We start from the raw sequence: 19,113 nt of genomic DNA, 5'->3' as shown, positions 1-19,113 counted from the left end.
CTTTCCCTTTTACTGGCAAATACTTGAATTATTTTTGCTGCTTTAAGGCATAAGTAGAAATGTTGTAAGTGGACTGGAAATGAAGGTAGAAGGTATTGCTCATGCATTTTCCTATTAATATTTAGCTCTCTCTCAGTTGCATTTATAACAGCTGTCTGTCCTGCATTCATAACTCATGATCCTCCCAAAAGATAACCCTTTCTTTACACATTATGTAGATTAAGCTGAATGGAAGATATGTTAATCTATCTTCAGAGATATCACTTTGTTTGGAGAGTCACATAAGAACCTAGCTATGGAGGTGTTTGCAAGTGTGAAGTGCTCTCTAAAGATGAGGAAGCAATGGTGAGGTAAACACAGCCACTCAATAGAAATATCAACCAAAAAGAGAGAGAAGACTTGGCCAGGCACAGTGGCTCACACCTGTAATCCCAGCATTTTGGGAGGCCGAGGTGGGCGGATCATGAGGTCAGGAGATCGAGACCATCCTGGCTAACACGGTGAAACCTCATCTCTACTGAAAATACGAAAAATTAGCTGGGCGCGGTGGTGGGCGCCTGTAGTCCCAGCTACTCGGGAGGCTGAGGCAGGAGAATGGCGTGAACCCGGAGGGCGGAGCTTGCAGTGAGCCGAGATAGTGCCACTGCAGTCCGGCCTGGGCGGCAGAGCAAGAGTCCGTCTCCAAAAAAGAGAGAGAGAGAAGATTTGAATCTTTCTTTTTGAAAGCATATGTAATTGTCTTTTTTTCCTTGCCGTCAAACTTGGTCTTTCTATTTATACACAGGGAAGGATGTTGTTTCCTTAGGCTCTTTTGTTTATTGAGAAAAAAGGCTCATTTAGGTGACCCATGTAAAAAGGGAATTTTTCTGGCAACATGTGTGGGCTGGAACTGAAACCAAATTAAGAAACAAGAATAAAAAAGGCAGTTCTAGAAGCTTCTTATATGCTTGTGTCATTCTTATGAGCAACAGGAGCTTTAAACTTTTTGCAACTCTACTTCTCCCTGAATGTCTATTCATTTCTGTTCTTTTTTGTTTCTGATTATTTTTCTTAGCCTTTTACTAATTGTTCCTCTTAAAATTTTGCCTTGCACATAGCCTATCATGGCCTCTGCAGCTGCTTTCCCTTTAACAGCTTCAGCTCCTGCTGCTAATGACCTGTGTGAATCAGGTTACATTCAGGAAACAGAAACCACACCATTTATTTCAATAGGCAGAATTATCAAAGAATGGTTAGCCAGTTATTGGCGAATAATAAAGGCAAAAAAAAAAAAAACACTGAGGAATCATAAAGGTAGTAATTACAGGAAGTGGATATCCTGGATGCAGGGACAAAAGTAAGAGTCAGAGATTATTAGAATTTAGAATACTGGAGGAGGGGCTTTGAAGAAAAGGAATACAGGAGTCTTGGGTGAGGGTGTCCCCCGAAAAATAGAGGGACTTTAGAAGCTCAGCAAGGACTCCACAGAGCTAAGAACCTTTCCTTTAAGGAGAGGCTGCCAGCTGGGGCTGTACCCCAGAAACTCAGATTGGGGTACCCACGGAGCTGGGATGCAGAATTTTGTGGGGGATGGTACTCAGCCAGTGTTACAGCCTGAAAACTAGAAAGGAATCCACAGGCAAAGCTGGAATCACATTTCTGAGGATGGGGTACCAGCCAGCTAGTGCTGTTTTATCACTAGGAAAGAGTGCGATTAGGTTTTTTTCTTCCTGAATTGTAGAAAAATGTATAAAATAGAACCAACTGCTTTGCAGTGGCTACTGGAATAAACAGGGCGACATTGTCAGAAGCAGGAAGCACTTTCTACTTCCCTCTCAAGCTTCTATTCTCCCTCTGTATCCCTGTATTGGCAAACAGGGAGCCAGGTGGCAAAGGAAAATATATGCTTTGCACTGACCGAGACCCAGCATCTCAAAGCAAGAGGAGGGTGGACTTGAACTGAGAGATTGTAATTTAATAAAAAGCACACAGCCTGTTCTGTGTGTGTTTATGTTTGTGTGTGTCTGTGTGTTTAAATTTTCAAAAGAGAGAATATGATTGGCTCAATTCACCTGATCACTGAGATCATAGCATATGACTTAATTAAAATTTGCTTGACTTTTGGTCAAGTGCCATTCCTGATTTAGTCAGGTGGCATTAGATTGAGGTTTATGTCAGAATTCTATAGAAAACATGGCCACTTAGGTATCAGGGCTATAAACTGAATGGTATTCCTTAAAATCAACTAAGGACATTCATATGATTGCCGTGCAGTAGAGATACAAATATGTAGATGTCATATTGCTGATGACTGAATTTTTAATTCAACTTTTTAGTTTTTAAATAATTGTACATTCACATGTAGTTGTAAAAAAAAAAAACACAGAGATCCCGAGTGCCTGTTCCCCCTTTATACCCAATGACAATATCTTGCAAAACTACATAGTACAATACTATAACCAGAGTATTGATATTACTACGGTCAAAATACACGTCATTTCTATCACCACAAGGGACCCTCCTGTTGCCCTTTTCATAGCCACATCCACTTCGTTCCTATCTCTAACTTCCCCCTTAAACACTGACAACTTCTAATCTGTTCTCTATTTCCGTAACTTTGTCATTACAAGAATGTTATTTAAATGTAATCACACAGTATGTGGCTTATGGGCATTGGCTGTTTTCACTCAGTATAATTCTCTGAAGATTAATCCAGGTCATTAATAGTTCATTTTTTTCTATTGAGTAATATTTCTTGGTAAGCATATACCACAGTTTGTTTAATTATTTACCTGTTGAAGGATGTCTTGGTTGCTTCTAGTTTGGGGCTATTATAAAGAAATTCACTATAGGTATTCATGTACAGACATTTTGTAAATATAAGTTTTTATTTTGAGGGAAAAAATGGCCAGACAAACAATTGCTGGGTTGTATGGTAGTTGCATAATTAGTTTTTAAAATTAACTGCTGAAGAGTTTTCCAGAGTAACTGTAACTTTTTACATTCCTGTCCTTGTCCTCTCATCCTCTTAATCCTTTTACAGAACAAAAGATTTTAATTTTGATGAAGTCCCATTTATCAGTTTTGCGCTTTACGGCCATGCTATTAGTTTCCAGTCTAAGAACTCTTTGCCTAGTTCTAGACTCCAAAGTTTATCTTCTTTATTTTTTTCCCAAAAGTTTTATAGTTTTATTTATTAGTTATAAGTGCATAATCCATTTTGAATTAATTTTTATAAGGTATGAAACTGAAGTCAAATTTTATTTTATTGTCTATGGCATTTGCTGGGTGTCCATTTGCTCTCCTTGATATTAGCATCTAATGTTTTTTTTCCATTTCATTTTAAATCTCCCTGATTGTTGGTAGAATACGTAGTTTGCAGTTGAAACCTAGACATTTTGAGTATGATATTATGAGATTCTGGATATTGTTTAAACCTTCTGTTTTGGTTGGCTTTCTCCAATATTGCTCTAGTAGGGGAAGTGGGAGTAGAATTAATGGCAGTTGGAGGTAGAAGCTCATGTTTTTTCACCTGTCCTTTGCTTATATATGAGTGGGCAGGGGCTCTTTATTACCACTGGCATGGACAGGACTTCCAGCTCCCATTAGACTTCCATTGATACCTCCCTGGCTGGGAGGAATAGGAATGACTTGTAACTATTACCAACTTGTTCACCACTGACACCGTGCTGGTGGACGGCAGGGGGGTTGGGTATTGGTGTCATTATTCCTGGGTGGTGGTGAAAGTCCTGACTCTCCTCTAAGCCTAGTTTGACACCATCCCAACATATAGGGATGGTAGGGGTAGAAGTTCAGGATCCCTATGTTATCTCCACTGATGATACAAAGGGTGGAGGGTGGCCTGGTTACTGCCTGGCAGGGATGAATGTCCTGGCTTCTGTGTGATCTTCTTTGACGCTACCCTGATGGAAATTGGGGGGACCTTGTCATAGCCGGGTGAAGGTAGAAATGTAGATTATTCATTAGGGCATTGATGGCCTAGGTGAGGATAAGGCCATACATTTTTCTCTTATGTATGGGTGGATGAAAGTGTTAATTGCCTCAAATTTTTCTGTCTTATTAAATTGCTCTATCCTTGTCCTTTGGCCAGAAAGAGTCAAATGTTTTTTCTCTGTGTGTGTGTGTATATATATGTACCTATTGCCATTTCTGGGTTTCTGATCTCTTCAGCTCCAAATCTGGGAAATATGGAGCCAAAACAAAAACCCAGGAACTCACCACCATGTCATTACTTGGATTCAGAGCTTTTTGTATGGTCTTCCTTCTTCACTCTACTTTTCAAGATCCTCTTAAGCATTTTTCCAATATAATATCTGGGATTTGTGGTTGCCTTTAATGGGATAAATAGGAAGGAAAAAAGTTCTATTTTATCCTTCTGTAAGTGGAAGTCCCTTGGAAGCATTTTTGTAGATATTTTGATGGTTCTTTTTTGATGTCTAAAATGTTAACATAATAATCAAGGTGGAACTATGAATTTACAAAAAGAAAAAATAACTCTACTAAGTTTATTTCCTGTCAGAGTAGGAATACATGCAAAACCATCTTAAAGAGATAATTGCCTTAGATAGTCGGAGCTTGCAAATAATTGTTGAATGAAAGAATAATTATTAAATGAATTCATTTAACAAATTGATCTGTGTGTTAAATGTTCTAGGTGCTGAGGGGACCATAAATATGTATGATACAGAAATAATTATCAAATAATACAGGGCCATTAACAGTGATAAAATAGATCAACATAGCTATAACATACAAGGTAAAAGTTATATTTCATCTCTCAGAGCAAGGCAGTGTCTTGTTCATCTTTGTCTGCTGCTAGTGCCTAATGTAGTACATTAGTCATCACACATGGCTTGCTATGGGAGTTAACAGAGGGAGAGAGATCACATTCAGCTGATGGGAAGTAATCTGTTTTATGTCTTCCAAAACTTCTACAGAAAAGGAATTCTTTAACATTTCTAGATACAATATGTCACATTTCCTATTTCTTTATTCTTTATCAAGTTAGCGAATTATTTCTGTAAAATCTTATCTCTACAAATGAACTCAAGTGATTACTGTAGCAGCAGAAGAAAGACAAACATCATTCTTTACACATATACTTGTATATATTTTAAATTAAATGCCTTAAATCACACACTCTCTTGCCCCAACTGTCAAGTGCAATAGCTTCATATTATACCATATAGAGAGACTGGTAGTCTTTGGGTCAAATGTCAATCCCACCCACCCATGACACACAAGCAAAAACAAAATGATTACAATGAGTTAAAAAAAAAAAAAAAGCAGCCTGTGGTGACAAGATTTGACATGGCTGTCCTTGAAAATGAGCATTAATTTTAACCTGAAACATCACCCAAGGAAGGGCTCTGAATTTTGTCAATTTATGATAAAGTCTATGAAACTGCGGAATCACATAAACAATGACTTTCCAGGTACCTAAGGAAATAACTATTCGCAAATATAAAAACGCCTTGACAGGAAAGTCAGAGTCACAGCTAACAAACTCTCCAGCACTTCACTCTTGGACCAGGGATGCCGGAGGCAAACCAGCAAGAACCCTGATGGAGAGCAAGCAATAATGCTGATGCTACAAACCCTGATGAAGCAAAAGTAAGCCATGTTTAATGCAAGGCAAGGGGATTGCTGAGAAAGCAGGAGAGGTCTCTGCTCATAACAGGCAAAGAAAAAAAGACCTCTTTCTGACCTACATTATAAACTCTTCGCATCAACTTTGACTTTGTATATTTGATAAGGCAATGTATTCTTAGGGGGCTTCCTAATAGTGAATATTCACAAGATTAATAATAATAGTAAAATTCTGATCTTTATTCCGTTGGCTTGCTCTTTGAGTGAAAAGCTTTTCATGAGTGCCTAGAGCTATAAAATAAATAGAAAGAGTGGGGTTTGAAGAAGGATGATTTTTACTTTACACTTAAATTTATATTTACAAGCAATTTTCAGTGGTGAATAAGAATGGCACATTAAAATAGGTCAAATATATTTATTCTTGTACACTTCATTTTATAGAAATTCACTTTGATAGGTTCCCTATATAGAAAATTAGGCTTAGAACTCTAAACTTAAAACGCCCAACATTTGGAATATTGTGGAAGTAATTTTATCTGCCTTAAACTTTGTAGTTGCCACAAATGGAAATATTCAGAGTGCTATATAGTACTCAATATAAACAATAGTCTATATTAACTGAAGACTATCCTATTATGTGGGCTTGGAGATGCACAAGTTTATTAGGTTTTTTTAAATTTACTTTTTTTTTTTTTTTTTTTTGAGATGGACTCTCGCTCTGTAGCGCGGGCTGGAGTGCAGTGGCGCAATCTAGGCTCACTGCAAGCTCCGCCTCCCAGGTTCACGCCATTCTTCTGCCTCAGCCTCCGGAGTAGCTGGGACTACAGGCGCCCGCCACCACGCCCGGCTGATTTTTTGTATTTTTAGTAGAGAGGGGTTTTCACCGTGTTATCCAAGATAGTCTCTCGATCTCCTGACCTCGTGATCCGCCCACCTTGGCCTTCCAAAGTGCTGGGATTACAGGCGTGAGCCATGGCGCCTGGCCAAATTTGCCATGTATTCTTACAATGTATTTTTGAATCTAATTGTATTCTATTCAGAATCAAAATATCATTTAAAAATATATATTGGTATTATGAAACAAAATAAGTTTATTATTAGAAACTTAGAAATAAAAAACAATTTTTTGGTTAGGAGGAGAGATTCCTATTGTTATAACCTATTTAAAATATTAGGGGTTTGTTTCATCCTTTTTAAAAAAAAATATATAGAAAACGTATAGTTTATATTTGTTTCTCTAGGTATTTGAAAAGCTTCACCCCTTGAAGAAAAAAATATTGCACCTCTTTAAAAAGGACCTAACATGATAAAGGCAATAGTTCATGAGAAAAGACAAATCTAAAAATTTGTATTTCAGAATATTTCTTCCGTCAGCGCAGTAAGACAAAATAGGATAGAAATAAAAGGACTTGTATAAGTTAGTTCAAAGATAAAAAGCCCATGAGAAATATCTTAACACAATATTTATTTTATTTTCAAAGCTAAGCTAGAAATATAAAAGCTAATAAAATATTAAAAGTATTAAAAATACGTGTAAAAGAGTGGCAGCCACTATTTATTGTCATCATCCTGAATGTGATTTCACAGTTTTTCTGACTGTGTGATACACGATTTACCCAGTTTTTCTAAGCTACCTTCACATGACCTAGTTAAGGTCTGAGAAGTGATAGGTAGCCAACTGAGAATATATAATCAGAGTGATTGCATCTCCTTGATATATTCCAACTTATCAAACATAATTTCAGAAGTTTCCAGGTGGAGCTGAAGAACCTTTTGAAAAAAAAAAATCAGTCTATGTGAAGGCTCCAATCCTGCTTAATCCACTAGGTGAAACAATCATAACATTGGCCGTGCATCACTTTCCCCTCAACTTTTTCTTATCCGGTGACAAATATGCTGAAAAATCACGGGAATTCATTATGCTTGATTTCTTAGATTTTACATCTTTAACTCCATATTCATGTTGCAAATACAGGGAAATATCGCTGCAGTAAAGCAAAATGTTTCACAGGACACATTTACTGTTCAAGAAACCACACCACAAAGCAGAAATTTTAAGGCAGTAAAACAATTTGAGACAAACTTCTATTCAACCAAATGGCATGCATCTATTACAGAGAGTGACTCCTAAATTGAATGCCTTGCACAAAGAAGGCGCAGCAATAACAAATTGTCGAGCGAATGGGTGTTTATTTCATATACTTGAAAATAACAAGGTAGAACCAATGGTGTACTGAAAAATCAGCTCTGTGAGAACAATTCTGGCTCTAATTTGTAGTATGTGTAATATTTGCATGTTTCTGTGGTGTGACTACTGCCCCTATAGCCATTTCACCCACCAATGTGATGTCACTGAAGTCTGAGTTGGGAAGAGAAGTGTAGAATATTCTCTTACAGGCTGGTGCAGGCCAGTGCAAGGGGGCTTCAGTATTCTACTGGTAAAAGTCTGACTTGCCTTCATTTGATTTGGCAAAAGAAAATTATACCACATGATATTATATTTGCTAATTAGCTGAATTGATTTTGATGGAAACTAGAGAGTTTTTTTTTTTTTCAACAACCTTAACAAAGTGTTACTTTTTGGGGGTAAGATATCTGCAAGATGAAAACTTGTAAGAATTCCTCCCTAGGAATTTTCATACTTTCGATAGGAAATAAAAACCAGGGAAGGCCTTGAGGATTTTCCTGAAGTTGAAAAAGAAATCTCTTTAACAAAGGGCCACCAACTTCGGAGCCTCGGAGCTGTTAAGCCTGCCTTGAAGAATCCATATTCTTGGCCACTGCATGCTCAAAAATTGAATAGGGAACCCCTAGGCAAGGAACTCTTTTAGCAACATCGTATATTAAGTCTTATAATTTACAAAATCCTTCCAATTCCTCATGATGCTAAACTACTTTTGAAGTCAAGAAATGTAGTGCATCAAATAATTAAAAAAAAAAAAAAAAACTCGACCAATTGAAAAAACCATTCATTATGGACCTTCTATGGATTAGACCCTGAGCTGGATGTTGACACATGTATTATTTTATATATTTTAATTAATTCATGTGCCTTCATTCTTTGTGGAAAAAAGTAGAACTTCCTCCATTTAATTAAGATTGAAAATGGCATCCCACAGGTTATTAAAAATATTTTAATAATAGCAATAGCAATCACCATCTGCTTCATGTATACTATGTCCGAGGCATTGTCACATTTATCATTTTAGTTAACATCCTTACAATTATTTCTATTTTATAGATGAGGCAAATAAGATTATGACTAAGAGAGACTTATGCACAAGGTTAAGAGCCAATGAATTACAGAGGAAGAAATGGAACAGAAGTCAGTAATTCTCCAGACACATGCATTGCTTAGCATGTGTTGATTAATTCAGTAATTCCACAAATGTTTATTGAGCACTCCCCATGAGTCAAACACTATTCTTGGCTTTGGAGATATAGCAGAGAACAACACAAATATAAATATCAACCCTCACATACCCATATTTTAGTGGACAGAGATAGTCAATAAGCAAAAAAGTAAAACAAAATAATTTTAAGTAAATATGTTATGTTGAATGGGGGACAAGTTCTACAGAAAAATATAAAGTAGGTAAGGAACAGGTAGTGCTTGCATGGGAGTGCATTGCAATTTTAAATGACAGTCAGGGAAGGAATCATTATGAAGCTGAGAAAGCTAGGAAGGTGAGAAGCTGAGGCATGCAAACATATGGGAGAAAACCTTTCCAGTAGAGGAAACAAGTGGGGAGGCCCTGATGTGGGAGCATGATTTGTGCATTTGAGGAACACAAGGTACTATAGATTAGCCAGTCCTAGAATTAAGGAGTGAAGTCCTGGAGGTGGGAAGAACTGGAATAAGGTGCTAGATCTCCCTGGCTTCTGTGATGTGTATAGACTGAAGGGAGATGAGAGTGGAAGGGAGAACAATTAGCAGACTATTGCTCTAATCCATGTGGAAGATGATAATTTCTTGGACCATGGTGGTAGATGTGAAAGTGGTAAGAACTGGTTGGATTCTATATATATTTTGAGTAGATTTAATGTGTGAGATGATTAAAGACAGGTTGTAAGAAAGAGATTAAGAAGAACTCCAACATGTTTGGTCTGATAAATGGAAGCTTTGAAATTTCATTTACTGAGGTAGAGAGCTCTAAGGAATGAGAGATTTGGAGTGAAAGATAAGGAGGTGGTTGTTAACTGTAGTAAGTTTAAGATGAAGGAGATGCAAAAATAAATAATATCTACTTCAAAGGATAATTAAAAGTTTGAACAAGGTAATCTATATGAAAGCACTCTATAAATATTGTTTATTTCTATACTTAGTTTTAATTCTATACTGTTTTAATTCTATACTTAGTCACTTGATCTTATCGTGTCCAGACTGAAATTTAGAGATTGCCTGCCATAGAATTGGTGGACGTTGAAGCCTGTAGGCAAATTATTTCACATACAAAGGAGGGGGTAATTTTTTTTTAATTAGCTTAAAATATTAGAAGAGGCAGATGTGTGGTAGAGTTGCCCAAGAGAGAAGAAAGCAACAGTAGAAATGAAGAAGATGGTATAAAACTTGGTTTTGCCAAAAGGCACTTTTAAAATGTTCCTAGAGTTAGAAGAGAAACTAAAGAATCTGAGTGCCTGGAAGACTAATTAACCTGGGAGATAAGCCTTGCTGCTCTGGGGGCCCAGATGCTAAAATCAGTTGCAGGGTTAAGGGGGGAATGATCCTCCTACCACAGATGCCAGTGCAATGTTGTCAACTGAAGATCTTGAAGGGCCATCAGAGGAAGATGACTGTGCCTCAGACCGGCATTCTCAGGGTGCTCACTGCCAAGGGAGATGGTAGCATAGCACCTTGCCAAAGAAGACAGAGTGAGTGAACATTTCCTAAGCAATGTGAGATGGGACTGAGATTCCCAGAAATGACTGTGGACATTTTCATGAAGAAAATGAATCTTTGAGTGAGTTAGGAAGGATCTCATGTGGCCAGTCATGAGATCTTATTTCCACTGCCTAGTTGAAGATGCTGTGGTTACATGTTATATACTATATGTTACATGTTGTATACTGTAGCCACCTCTTCAAGAAAGCCTGGTATGCTAGATGGTGACCTGCCCATCTGGAGGCATTTGGGATATTTATGAGAACATTGACAGTTAAATCCTAGTGCCATTTCTCTATCCTGAGCCCACTTGTTGTATATCATTTTGAGCCTTTCTTATGGTATGGGGCTTTAGTTGGTTTTCCTTTACTTTCTGAGATACCATTACCAATGTCTTTGTGCTTATATTTACCCTAAGATAGGGTAGTTTTCCCAGCTCCACTTTTACTTGCTCTTCCTGAAAAAGAGGTTTAGTTCTCTCACTTGGATCTCCCTTACCCATAAACCATACTCCTTAGGCTGAGTGACTTAGACTTCTGACATGCAGTTGTCTTCAATTGCTCCATGTACTCCGTTTCCACAATGGGTAGAGATGTGTTGGAAACTGGCCGCTGAGATAGATGTCCAGTGGGAGAAAACCTCCTTGGCTTCATTCACACAACCTAGATGAGCAGGAAGTGTCCAAGGTGGCTCCTTGCACTTCACCTGGGGCAGGCCCGCCTTAGACCTTAGTTGTCCCAATGTCCGAGAGGCTCGTGTTTTGCTGCTTATCTGGGTCAGAGCACACTGGGCATGAGATCGTGCCCTCCTTTTTATGCAACTTCTTTTTACTTATGTTGTTCCTTCTTCTTGAATTGTTTTTTTCCCTATTTCTGCCTATAAAATTTAGGCTCTTCTGGCCGGGCGCAGTGCCTCACGCCTGTAATCCCAGCACTTTGGGAGGCCGAGGCAGGCGGATCACAAGGTCAGGAGATTGAGACCTTCCTGGCTAACACAGAGAAACCCCGTCTCTACTAAAAATACAAAAAAAAATTAGCCGGGCATGGTGGCGGGCGCCTGTAGTCCCAGCTACTCGGAAGGCTGAGGCAGGAGAATGGCCTGAACCCGGGAGGCGGAGCTTGCAGTGAGCCGAGATCGCGCCACTGCACTCTAGCCTGGGCGACAGAGCGAGACTCCGTCTCAAAAAAAAAAAAAAAAAAAAAAAAAATTTGGTTCTTTTTCAATTTCTGGAGTGAATAGCATCTTTATATAGCTTTTTCTTCTGATTTTCCCCTACTGATTATGAGCTCCTTGAGTTGTCACTGCATTTTGGTAGACATGTCTTGTAGTTTTGTAAACATACTACTGTCTATGTGTCTGTGTGTATGTTCTTTCTGTCCTGTTTGAAGGTGAGCTCCTTTAGCGTGGCTTCAACAATGAGCATCATCTAGCTCTCCAAAGCCTGAGGATCTCTAGAGTGGCTGAGAAATTTAATGAGGTCTATAGGCCAGGACCTTGGGATGTATCTGGAAAAGCTTTAGAAAAATCTTCCTGTAGACAACTAGCTTAATTATAATTGAGATTTAAATTCATTTCAGTAACACACACCCACTTGGGGTACTGGAGGTCGAGGTTGAGAATTCTATGATGGATGACCTGGGTGAAACTAGCATAAGAAAGGGCTGGTAAATATTACCTGGCTGTTAAAGTTATTGCAGCTTGATTTGCTTTGTTATTTTGCCTGGAGGTATAGGAGTGTTGGGAATCTTTTTGTAAGACTGCCTTAGACTATGAGGAAAAGTCTGTAAGTCAAAGAGTAAACATGTTTTGTAATTAGCCATGGACCCTGTTTTTTTTTTTAAATTTCCTAAAGTGAGATCAGATAAATATTAATAAAGAGAATCTAAGTTTTTGCTAGCCAAATATGTAAAAATAAGCCATTTCCTTTTTCCTTTTTTCTTTTTTCACAGACAGTGTCTTGCTCTGTTGCCCAGTCAGGAGAACAATGGCGCTATCATAGCTTATTGTAATTTCAAATCCCTGGACTCAAACAACACCCCCCGCCACCTGCCTTAGCTTCCAAAGTAGCTGAGACTACAGGCATGCACCACTATGTCTGGCTAATTTTTTTTTTTTATTTTCTTATTTTTTGAAGAAATAGGCCGCACTATATTTCCCAAGCTGATCTCTAACTCCCGGGCTCAAGGGATCTTCCTGCCTTGAACTTCCAAAGTACTAGGATTACAGGTGTGAGACACGGTCCCCAGCCAAGCATTTATTTTTAAAGTAAATTATGTCTAAATGTTAGTACGAACATCTTAGTTGTCAGACTTACCAAAAAGTAGCATTTTACTGCACGTGTGACGCTTTCTAGTAATATTCAAATATTTGATTCTGGTAGTTTTTCATAGATCATTTGAGGAAACAATATTTATTTAATGAAATCCGTAAACCCTAAAACCAACTTCCTTTCATCTGTAACAAACTTAAAGATTATTTGACATATATACCACATATATGTGTATATATATATAAATGAGGTTACAGTATCTTTAACTGTGGAAAGCGAAGCTTCTTTAAGCATACTAGCATAAACACCAATTTGTGATCTTTAGTTTGGAGCCTAAGAATTAGGAATCATTATTGAAAGAACCACTTAGTTTATACTGTTTTCCAACAGTTTTCCATCCTTTATTAGTCAGTCTTTTATGCTGAAATATTTAATCTCACACTAATACTTCCATTGGTCCTTAAATACAAACAAAAACAACCCTGGAAGCTAATTGTGAGAAATACATCTTCCAAGTGTGACTACAACCTGTCAATATACCCTGCCCACTATTTTATACTTAATTAAGAGAAGAATGTACATTTACAAGTGTCATTATTTATCAAACTTTGTACCCATTTTATTTAGTCTACAAGTTTTAAATTCAGGAATTCATTTTCACATATATGTATTTCATTTTTATAACTTCATTGATTTTTTGCCTACAAAATACTCACATAAAATACAAATCAAACACTGTAGAAGTATAAATATAAAAAATAAAATTTGTCTATAACTCCATTTCCCTAAAATAATGTACATTATTGGCCTATTTCTGTTACATATTCTCATTCCCATTTTGTAGCTGAGGTAACTGGAGCTTAGAAATATAACCTGGGACTCAGCACGGTGGCTTACCTCTGTAATCCCAGCACTTTGGGAGGCCAAGGTGGATGGGATCACCTGAGGTCAGGAGTTCGAGACCAGCCTGGCCAATATGGTGAAACCCTGTCTCTACTAAAAATACAAAAATTAGCCAGGCGTGGTGGTGGGCACCTGTAATCCCAGCTACTAGGGGGGCTGAGGCAGGAGAATCACTTGAACCTAGGAGGAGGAGGTTGCAGTGAGCCTAGATTGCACCACTGTACTCCAACCTGGGCGATAGAGTGAGACTCTGTCAAAAAAAAAAAAAGAAAGAAAGAAAGAAAGAGAGAGAAAGAAAGAAAGAAAGAAAGAAAGAAAGAAAGAAAGAAAGAAAGAAAAAGAAAACTTGGCTGAGCTAAGATTTAAATCAAGGCCTGTTATTGCAAAGCCCATGTCAGGTATTTGTGTGTGCATGTGTGTGTCTGTGAGTGTATACACATATATATTTCTATTTCTTCACATTCTGTGAACAAAGATGACTTCTCTCTTTGAACTTGATAGTGTTCTATGGACCCTCCCTGATCCAGTATTCATTTGTCTATCCACATATTTATACTACCACTTATTAAATAATAAATGTTAGTAAAACTTAGAAAAATAAAGGATGTAAGAAGAGGAAAAAGGACATAAAATGGTTAAGAAAAAAACCCAAAGTAGCCTTGGCAAAGATAAAGGGATTACATTTTAATTAGGGAAGAAGGAGCTGAGTTTGGATTAAAACAAATTCCCATTCTAAAGTCTGTGCTTTTATCTGCTGCATAACATTTGTTACCTTTGATGAGCTTGTTTATTTGATGTTTCCCTGAAGGTTTTTATTGCTAAAGTATCTTCATTGCTCAGACCCTCCAGAGCCACTGCCCACAGTAGAGAAAAACCAGCAAGCACATACTCACTAAGTGCCACATACCGTCTTGGTCACTGGATTCAAAGATAAATAAGATGAAATACCTGACTTTGTGATGCCTGAGTCCAGTAATGGGAAGCCCTCCATGCCACTTCTCTGTGAGGTTTTGTGAGCGTTCCCTAAGATTACATAAGTGTTTTAATTTCTCTGTACAGTATTTAAAGCTACATTTAAAATGCAGAGTGTCTTCTCATCTATGTCCCCACTTCCTTGTTTCATTTTTGAATTCCTTTCATCTTCATTCTACACGGCTTGAGTTAATTCTGGTATCTCCAAAATACAGATATGCAAAAGCCAATTGAAAGAGAAGCATGCTTGCATGGACAGTGTCAGGGAACTACATCATCAATCTACTTCCTTCTTGACCCCAGCAACTTTTCAGAAGCTTTGATTGAGTTCCGCAAATTACCATCCTGTTCTCTAAATCTTTCTGCGTGTGAGCTTTTTGAGGTGTTCTTTAGGTCAATTCAAGGATATGTCTCCAGTCCCAAAGATGATACAAAATATTTATTTTTGAGTCTGGGCCAGCTTTTTCAAAACAAATACCTAATTTTGAATTCAGCCTTCAATACACGGCTGTATTTTTGTTTAACACAATCCGATTAACAAATATTTTTTGAGGGGCATAAGGTGATAGGAACAGGAAAGTAATTCAAATCAGTAGTTCTGAAGTATAGATCTGGTACTGCTACCTACTAAACCACATAACCTTGGCCAAGTCACTTAGCCTCTCTGAACTTCAGTTTTCCCTGTGATAAAATGATGTTAATAATATCTGCTTCAAGTGAATGTCATAACATTTAGGAAATATTTGGTAAGGATGTTTCATTGATAGTTTTAAGTACAAGTTATGAATTATAATAATTATACTAGCAATTATAATAATATCTGCCAATAAGACCATTACAGAGCTTCTAAAGCTCAAATAAATATAGTGGCACAAATATGCCTTACATGCATGATTTGTAAACAATAGAAGAAAAATATGATCAAATGCTTCTATACTAATTAAACTACTTTGGATCTCAGATAATATTTGCAGAGCGCTATTCCAAGCAACATTTTTTTTTAATTCTACTTTGCCAATGCTATGTTAGTATAGCTTAACATAATACTCAGGCAACCTATCATGTGTCAGGATAGAGTGAAAAGAAATGAAGTAAGATGGTCCACAAACTTTCTGAAGCCTCCCACATATAAATAACTTGATGAAGTATTGGGGTAAAGAGCAACAGAGTCAGAGTTCGCAGGTTAAAGCAATTGCCTTTCCTATTTTGCAGCCATATGTCTGTTACAGTATTGAGCTGTCACATATTGAGACTGTCAGTGTGACATCTTCATCAGTTTCAAAGTGACTCTGGCCCCAAACATATCTGGCAATTACTGGGGCACCACCCTCACCCTATCCTCCATCTCCCTGGCATCTTAAGAGAATGTGCTTGCCATGCCAGACACATCTCCAGTGTGATTTAACTTTTGTGGGCATCAGCCAACACTCAGCACACATAAAAAACCCAATCAGCTTCATCCCCATTTTTAACCGTGATAAGAGTCCAGAAAAGAGCTTCAAATAGGCAGAAGAGATTCCAGCTCATTTCTGAGGGTGAAAGCCAAAAGCAGCTTTCTCTCTACAGTGGAAGTGCACATCAGACATTCAGGAGATGAATTAGGAAAGTCAGAAAACTCCCACTATTCTCTAAAGGAAGCAGTAAGTTTCTTTCTCTCCTTTTAAAAGGGCTAACTTTGATTTTTTATGTCATTATTTCACACTGAAAAATTACTCACAGAAATAAAATTTCTTTTACATTTCTCTGTTTAAGATGCACAGAAACTGTGCCCCAGAGAAAATGAATATATTCATGAGAGGGCTGAGAACATATAAAGTACATTTCATATCATAAAACTCTCTATGTCTTACAAAGTGAAATCTGTGGGGAGCTGTTGGGCACGTTAAGATTACTAATGCCTTGGTCATTATAGCCAGAATTCACTTTAAATTTTGAAAAGCAAGCAACCAAAGTACTGAACTTGGTTATGTTCTGGTGAGACTCATAGTTAAAGGATCTGCTGACAATTGAATGATACTGAGATGTTATTATGCAGCATCTCTGAAGTCAGAATCCCAGCTTAACCACTTTTGAGTTGTATAAACTCAGATAATTTATTTAACCTTTCTGAAACTCAGTATTATGAATTACCAAATAGTGATAATGAGAGAACATGTTTTATATAGCATTTTTCCTATTGTGTAAGGTAACTCAAAACTTGCTGCATAGTAAGCTCATTGGCTAGTGGACAAAGTGGTAGTAGTGGTAAACTGACTATCAAAAAAAAAAAAGAAGAAGAAGAGGAATAGGAAGAGGAAGAAAAGAAGAAGAAGAAGAAGAAGAAGAAGAAGAAGAAGAAGAAGAAGAAGAAGAAGAAGAAGAGGAAGAAGAAAGAAAACAAGTAATAAACAAGGGACTGTATTAAAGTTCTGCATCTTTAAACTATATCTGGTCTTAGTGTATTGTCATATTTTTTCCCAATGTGATTCTTGTACCTGTCCTGTTTTGAATAATGTTCTTGAGATTTTTCTCAAAGATAGTTTTGGCTTTGTTCATGTATAGGAACATTCATAATAAGAATGCATCAGAAAATTCACAAAGTCTACAACTGAGGTTAAAAACATATAATAAAGCCTTGCTTCAAAATAATTATTTTATGATATTGGAGATTATTTATTTTAGAGATTATTTATTATAGATTTTAGAGATTAATTATTTATGATATTAGAGATTTTAGTACTGAGAAAACATTTTAGGGAAACCTAATTTGGTATCTGAAATATTATGAAATATATTAACCACATTTAACATATGCTCTGTATCTATATCTATCTGTATGTCCATGCAGATTTTAAATATAGATTCTATGTCTATGTAGAAAGATATATATTTTTGTATAAAATAAAGAGGCAAATGGTGCCATAATATTAACATCTATCATTTAAAATGCTGTGAGCAGTGGATTATATGAAGGGACAGAGAATAAATCAGTAAGGTCAATACCATTTCATTTTGCATATGAATGGGAAATCTACATTCTATCAAGTGCCTATACTCAATGTTCTTAATCAAAGCTATGGTGACACAGGTGAGAGACTTAAGTTAACTGTGCATGACTTAGAGTGAATCCATTCTTGTCAGCAGAAAGTGCATTTTCTGAAGCACATGTTCTAGTGTGATTAGCATTCTGTTTATTCATGAAATTTACTCCAACATGTAGAAACATGCTTTAGTTTGGGAAACAAACGCTTAAAATTAGGTAGAGTAAGGGTGAGATATACCTAGAATTGAGAAAGCCACATTTTAGAAAAAATCCAGTTTGGACAATTATGCTACATTTTTTTCAAGGGCATGAGAATCTCGCTCTGTAAATATATGGTTGTGATGATTACAAAACAGCCCAGTAAGCCTTTTAAAATAATGTTAGCAAGAAAGGGGAATAGCTACCAAAAGCAATTTATTTTTAATAGGGTGTGTGGTTGATTGCCAATAACAACATTTCAACAAATTGAATATTAGTATCAACAACCTTAAATAAAAACTGATTTTATACTATCTTATAAGAGCCAATTTTTATATTTTTATCTTCTACACATAATACAAAATAATAAACATGTTTTAATTGCAACTTGCTAAGTAATATATTGTGAATTAGTCAAATGTTTAAGATGAAACTTCAATTTTTGTTTTTTTGTTTATATTTTTACCCCAATAGGCAAACGTTTGTTTAGTTAACAAGTAAAATCAAAATGGAATCTTACATCCACAACTGAGAAAATACATGGCTTTCTCCTTCATATTAAGCATAATTATATAAGAAAATTAATCAATGTACTAATTGAAGGCTTAAATGCTCCAATTCTATCAGACTAGATGAAAACATCTCAAATTCTTTCAAGGATTTTTCAACTGTTTATAAGAGCTAGATTTATTTTCCTTATTAAAAATCTGGAAAGTGGCAATAGAAGCACATTGACATTGCAAACACTTCTGAAATTGTCAAGTCCATTTCCTACTGTTTTCTTCGTGGTGTTAGATCTGAAATGTGTTGCCTAAATGTGACCTCAACACTTGACAATTTACAAAGCACGTTCACAAACTTTGACTCACAATATCTCTGAGAGAGTACTGCATATTAGAAAAAAATGCTCTGATTAAGCTATTTTCCCCTGAGTCTCATACTCTAAAAGATGATGAATTAGGTTTTGTTTTGTTTTGTTTTGTTTTGTTTTTTTGAGATGGAGTCTCGCTCTGTCGCCCAGGCTGGAGTGCAGTGGCGCAATCTCGGCTCACTGCAAGCTCTGCCTCCCGGGTTCACGCCGTTCTCCTGCCTCAGCCTCCCGAGTAGCTGGGACTACAGGCACCCGCCACCACGCCCGGCTAATTTTTTTGTATTTTTAGTAGAGACGGGGTTTCACCGTGTTAGCCAGGATGGTCTCGATCTCCTGACCTCGTGATCCGCCTGCCTTGGCCTCCCAAAGTGCTGGGATTACAGGCTTGAGCCACCGCGCCCGGCCGA

The 19,113-nt window shown here is 37.1% G+C and overlaps 1 protein-coding gene across 18 annotated transcripts in view; it reads left to right on the top strand.

Moving 5' to 3' along the window:
* Nucleotides 1-19,113, top strand: part of LRRC4C (leucine rich repeat containing 4C) — a 1,345,454-nt gene that overhangs the window by 812,346 nt on the left and 513,995 nt on the right. The window lies entirely within an intron of this gene.

This window comes from Homo sapiens, chromosome 11 (genome assembly GCF_000001405.40).
Source record: "Homo sapiens chromosome 11, GRCh38.p14 Primary Assembly".
Taxonomy (NCBI): Eukaryota; Metazoa; Chordata; class Mammalia; order Primates; family Hominidae; genus Homo; species Homo sapiens.
Note: the sequence above shows the minus strand (reverse complement) of the source record. Positions and strands in the feature narration are given on the sequence as shown.